This window comes from Homo sapiens, chromosome 4 (assembly GCF_000001405.40).
Source record: "Homo sapiens chromosome 4, GRCh38.p14 Primary Assembly".
In the NCBI taxonomy this organism is placed as follows: domain Eukaryota; kingdom Metazoa; phylum Chordata; class Mammalia; order Primates; family Hominidae; genus Homo; species Homo sapiens.
This window is the reverse complement of record NC_000004.12, coordinates 120,048,448-120,054,947: the sequence shown is the minus strand read 5'-3', so window position 1 is coordinate 120,054,947 and position 6,500 is coordinate 120,048,448. Positions and strand designations below refer to the sequence as shown.

The window sequence follows — 6,500 nt, the reverse complement described above, 5'->3', positions numbered from 1 at the left end:
AAGATTGGGTCTGTGATGTGCAAAATATTTCATATCTAACATGCAGTTATTGGATCACTGTGTTCACACTCATAAGAGTCAGTACAGCTCTTTAAAAACAGGCTGTAAAGCTTACAGCCTCCAAGTCTAGGAAAGGAAATTCATGGGTATTGATCATCTACTGTATGCCAGGCACCACTGAAGTGCTTTACATCTGTTCAGCTGACTCCTAAATGAATGGAGGTTGGGGTTAGTGGGGAAATGGAAGACTTGGGCCACAAGCTGTGGTCTTAGAAACTGATGATGGGACATGGGGAGAGCCATGAGATAAAGGAAATTAAGTCTGAGTTCCAAATGAGGAGTCCTCTGGAGCAAGGAACAGCCCCCAAACCTCAATTTAGGGCTGTGAGGGAGAAGAGGGTGGGGAGAGAAGGACTGCATCCAAAATGGAAATTCTACAACTCCGCTGATGCCTCCATCGCCCCAGAGGAGACCCATAAAGCAAAACCATGAAGAAACACTGGGGAGTCTGAATCCTTTATAGAACATCTTTAGCTCAGTTTGTGGGCAGGGAAGGGATCAGTCTTCAAATTCATTCATTACATGCATTATCTCAATCCTTGCAACAACCCTGTGAGAATTGATATCCCCACTTTATAGATTTAAGAACTAAGATTCAGGAAGGTTAAGTAATTTGCCCAACTGCAAACATCCAGAATCCATGTGCTGGCCCAATTCCCAAACCAATAGGAACCAAATCCTTTTATTATATCTTGTTTCCTCTCAGAGTCTAGGGGACAGAGGAGGGTTCTCCTGCTCCAGACTTAGCTACAAAAAGACTAGAATACCGTGTGAATCTCACTCCAAATTGAGGAAGTAAGAACTTGTAGTCAAAATATTTGAATATTGCATTAACTTTTCATAATACTGCCATTAAATGTTCACACAGGGCATTTTGCTTTAAAACAGGAGCATTCATTTTCTTTCCAGCAACATTTCTTCTCTAATTCTTTCACTTGTTTTTGTAACCAAAGGTGTGTTGGAATTTGTGTTTAACATGTAATCCTGATCCTTCTACTTTGTGAGTTTTAACCAACTTGAGACATAGATGCAGGAAACAGAAGAAGATTGAAATTTATTATATGTATTATTACCCAAATTACAGCACTCTATAGTAAAGCTGGATTGGAGAATGAGCCTTACACTTAAGTCAGAAATAGGGTTTGCTACTCCTTCTTAAGTGAACCAAGCAGCCTGTGTAGTCACAGGTGGAAGGGCCAGACAACTTCATTCTTCCTTCTCCAGCCCAACTCCAACCTAGGAGGAAGCCTTGCATGCTGAATTGCCAAGGGCAAAATTAGAAAGCACTGTACTCGAGCTGCTACAAGCCATGGAAAAATTTCTTCTTTGCTGCTTGGGATGGGCTGAGAGAAAAAGTGGAGAGAGGGCCCCAGAACGTTACTCCAGTGCTGTTTTCTGTCATCAGGATTGGAACAGAAACCCTAAGAGTGGAGTAACAAGCATCCCTCCTGCTATTTGCCAGCTTTTTCATCTCTTGGTATATTACAGTGTGTGTTCCACTGGCATTATGTAAGTTGATTTTAGGTAGCATGATGACAGGCATTTTTTTAAAAAGTTTTAGTAATATATATGTTGTAATCAGAAAAATATGTAACATTGTTTATCATGAGTAAAAAATTGAGCGAAAGATTTTAAAAGTATACACAATATTTAAGGAAAAATATTATATCAGTATTAGTGTGAGCGATATGCAGACACGAAGGCCACATATGAAGGAAGGCTGGGAAACAATGTCATAACCCACTGGACTTAAGCAACTTGGAAGTAAGCCAGGGTGGGCTGTTCCTCTCAGCAGGGAAGTTGCTTGCTCACAGGGCCGTCATGTTCTCACTTTCCTAAACCCTCCTTCTTTCCACACTAATTCCCTCCAGAGCTGCCAATGGGCATTTCGCTTTTTGCCAACAAAAGTCTCTAGCAACATGAGTCAGACAGAACTGCATGCAGCACCCTAAGCAGAAAATGTATTCCCCATTCTATTTCCTATTACTGATTATGCTCAGTCATGTTGTCCAGAATTAATGAATGTATTCATTTTATATTCATGTATACATTCATGAATGTATTCATGAATGCCAAGACCAGATCAACAACATAAAAATATTCTAAAGTTGAACAATATGAAACTCTTCTCATTTTTTAACCCTCCAGACTAAATTCCCTTGCAAATGAAAAGCCCATAGAAATTAAGGTCAAATTCCTTCATTCCCAATTCTATACAATTGGCTCATTCTCAGCCAGAGGGTCTTACACTGATCTCTGGGTTCCTATAAGTTCAGCTATAACCTGGGCCGTCTTTCATAGGAATGGTTACAGCTTCTTCAGTCTTTTCAAAATTAATTCAAATTTCTAAGTAATTCAGCTCTCCAAGGGGTAACTAATCACAAAAGAAACTGTGGCTCCACTATGTAAGTTATTACAAGCAAAATTATGGTCCCCAAATTAAGTGAATGGTGTAATCTTTTTTGACACGGTTGTCGCCACCCAAAGAGCATGGCAGATAACTTAATGGTACCTGTGTTGTAGACAGAAGGACCTGAAAACAGCTGGGTTTCTGTTCCAGGGAGGGCCAGCCAGCGGTGCCAGTGTCAAGAGTTCACAGGCTGTAAATCTATATACACTGAGCAGAAACTGCCCATCAACAATTATGCTTCCACATGTTTAGTGTGTGTGTGTGTATGTGTGTGTGTGGTGGTGGTGGTGGTAGGTGTAGTGGCAATGCTTCTGGCAAACTCCCCATGTATATTACCTACTTTCTCAGTGAATGACATTTGAGACATTATTCCTTCTTAGAAAATTTAGATGTTTTGATTTCTTCATGTCTTGCATTTCATGCTTTTAGCACTTCAGTGCAAGACTGTGATTAGTCTAGATTAAACCTCTATTCCCAAATATCTTCAGGTGCGTTCTCTCTAGGAGCGTGAAGTCTCTCCTTTGTGGAAACATGAGGAATGGAGTAGTGACCATCACTCTACTCCCTTAGCACTATTTTAACTTAATAATATATCATATTGTATTTATTCAGATAATAGTAATTGTCACCACTATTCCATATGCTTTTCATTCCTACCTGGGCAGGTCAGGTTGGTCCCAGCTGACCAATAGTTAACCATAGTCAAAATTAAAAAAAAAAAAAAAAGAAGTTAAAACTCAAGGATCACAGAAAGAGCCAGGGAGTCAAGCTTACTCTTCTCAAGAAATAAGAGAATGATGTCAAAGTTTAGCAAAGCTTTAAGGAGATTCTAGATCTGATGGACTGAAATAGTCAAAAGTTAGTATTCCAAAGAATTAGGCCCCTGTAAAGACAGAACACAGTAAATTGAAAGAAGACCCCAGAAACCCTGAACTTCAGGGCAGGTACTTTTTCTGTTGCCCTTTAATTTCTTCCTGTCTCAATTGGACCTAACCATGAGTATGAGGAGAGTGACTGCAGCTGGGGAAAGAAATAGTGCCAAGAGCTGCAGCTGCAGAAAGTTTTGTTTTCATTTTTTTAACTTTTATAGTGTAAAATTAATATGCTCATAAGTTAATAAAATCAAACAGTACAGAATGGTACCAAGTGAAGAGTAAATTATCCACCTGTCTTCATTCCCCCACTCCCCACGTCTAATCTAGCTCCTTATTTTCAAACATGTTTTGTTCTGTTAGTGGTTATCACCATACCTTTAAGCATATGTTAATATTACTATTTTTTTTGTTGTTGTTTTTCAACTTTAGGTCACATCTATTGAAAGATGAGAAACTTAGTTCGTATTTCTTTATCCATCTACTCCTGAGTTTTTCTAGTCATATTATTTTCTTCTGGTGGTTATCTTTATAATTTTAAAGAATATGTTCAAGCTCTATATTTTGTTACATCAATTTTAGTATGTTGATTCCTTGCTATAGAAGGTACAAGAATTTGTGTCTGACATTGCTGGCCACATCTCTCTGCTACCTTAACATTCAGACTTTTGTGTTTTTTCCATTATCAATTTTAATACTAGTTAGATTCTCTTTTATAGTTATTATTGTCTTCCAGTTTCGTTGATTTGTTGACTCTACAAATTGAAATAGCATTTTCATTATCCTGATTATTGAATTACCCCTTATTGATTGATCAAATAGCATGAGTCTACCTATTAAGGGGAGAAAATGTAATCTAGTTCATTAATACTGAACGATGAATGTTCCAAGTGACAAGATAGAAAAGGAGTCCATAAACTCAATCTTCAAGCCTTCTTATGAAATTATTCATTTAGCCTATATCTTTAATATCCAAGAAATTAAACATAAAACATAAACATTTTTTACTGTGCTTGATTCTAGCCACCCATTCATTTGCTTCTTAACTATGAAGATGTTAATATTTGTTGAAAGATCAATTTTTCTTCTGTTCTCTTAATTACCTACTTTCTTCAGGAGTCACCTAGTATATCTGCTCCACTTGGACGTTCTCATTTTTGCTGTTTATTTCTTCTAAATTTTGTGAGTTTTAAAAATCTATGTGAATGATGGAAAAAAGGTGATCAATACTGGTAGCATGGTTTTCTACTGTGATACTAGGACTTTCCCTTTAATAAAAAGACAGATGCCATGGCTTGTGTACACAGAAGCTAGGAGTATGATTTAGGGTACATTTACATATTTTGTTCATCATGTATTTTTTACAGTTATTTTGACTTTTAAAACTATTGCATTAAAATATTATTTATCTAATTTAGTTAGTTTGGGGGCTCACCCTCAAAATTTTGTGTTCCAGGCTTCGTTCTTCTCACTGTAGTACCTGCCTTGAGACAGGGCCTGAAAGAGTAACCATCATTTCCAGTTATGGTCAGCAGAGGGCAGCAAAGGGCAGTGGAGTACGTGCTTGCTCTCAGGGCCTGGGCATCCTTCACTTTGTGGAGGCAAAAATCAGGAACTGGGAAGTAGAGGTCCAGATGGCCAGAATTAGAAGCGAAACTACTCACAGTGGCAGTGACCCAGGATAGAGACCAGGCTAAGCAGGGAGTGAAAAGGTTTAGTCAAAAGGGAGCCACAATTCGCAGCCCGGTATCTGCCATAGAGATGTGAGCAAGTAGACCTCAGGAGGTGAATCATCACTTGAGTTCTTTCGCAGTCCTGACTGCGACTCCCAGCGTCTCTCAAGCCCGCGGTGTGGCTCCTTAAAGTCTCAGGCATCGACTATCAACTGTGGAAGAGAATGAAAACTTCCTGTCTGAGAGTTGGTAACATGCTGCCAAGTGCTTAGGGGTTCCAGAACCAGCCATTTTGGGGAGGAGAGATTGAGTGGAGTATGAGCACCGAATACAAACGCTGAAGGATGATGACGATATTCGCATGTACATGCCAGCTAAATAATTTAGGAGCCTGCCTAAATGCGATGTGCTTTAAAATATAGTCCTGCCCCCCGAGCCAACACACATCTGGGAGGAAACAATGTTTCGTTGTGGAAACACCATGTGACTTTGGAATCAGACACACTGGACTCTCTGAATTGTTCGGTATGTGGCTCTTGGTTACTTAACTGATGGAGCCTCAGTTTCTCCATCTGTAAAAATGAAAATTCTTATCTCATAAGGCTACTTCGAGGAAATGCAAATGATGTACATGAACTACCTGGCAAAGAGCTTGGCCACCTGTAGTTGCTCGATTGACTTTACTACCTTTTCTCTCTGCCTTCCCTTTGGTCATGGAAGAATATCTGTAATATTGCTTGCTATTTTGAAATGTAAAGTCTTCCCATAAGCATAATTGACATTAGCTGAGAGATTGCTATGTTGGGTACCATAGAAAGTTTTCTATGGTATTATTTAAAATTCATAACAACCCTATGAGGTAACTTATCATCATCTCTGTCTTGCAGATGAGGACATGGAGGCTTTAATAGTATAACTGGTTTTCCCAGTGTCACATAGGTAGTGAGTAATGATCAGGGGTTCAAAACCAGGTAGTAGTTTGATTCCAGAGCTCATGCTCTTAACAGTATACAACCTCCTTTTCTATACAGACATTTTATCATCGATTAAAAATTTTAAGAGAAAAAATAGAATTAAGAAAATAGAAAAGAAAGAGGGAGAAAGAGAGAGAGGGAGAAAGAGAGAGAAAGAGAGAAAGAGGAAATAGTGTAGTTTTGTCTTTGTGATGTGCTTAAATGTTGGTATTACTGGCATAGCATCACCTTGTACTATCTCTTCTATGTGATTTTTAGGGTGAAAATTCAGTTTAAAGAAATAAATGAGAGACTGCTATGGACTGAATTGTGTCCCCCTAAATTCATATATTGACGCCCTCACCTCTCTCTCTCCCTGCCATGTAAAAATATAGTTAAAAAGTGGCTGTCTACAAGCCAGAAAGAGAGCCCCTACCAGAAACTGAAAATGCCAGCACCTTGATCTTGGACTTTAAACCTCCTGTGAGAAATAATTTTTTTCTGTGAGAAATAAACTTTTGTTGTTTAAGTA

The 6,500-nt window shown here is 38.7% G+C and overlaps 1 annotated feature.

The window, feature by feature from the left end:
* Window positions 4,870–5,249: an enhancer, noted in NCBI's record as "active region_21858". NCBI's record gives its function as "activates an Ori minimal core promoter by ATAC-STARR-seq in GM12878 lymphoblastoid cells {active_cell/tissue: GM12878}" and the evidence as "EXISTENCE:reporter gene assay evidence [ECO:0000049][PMID:35858748]".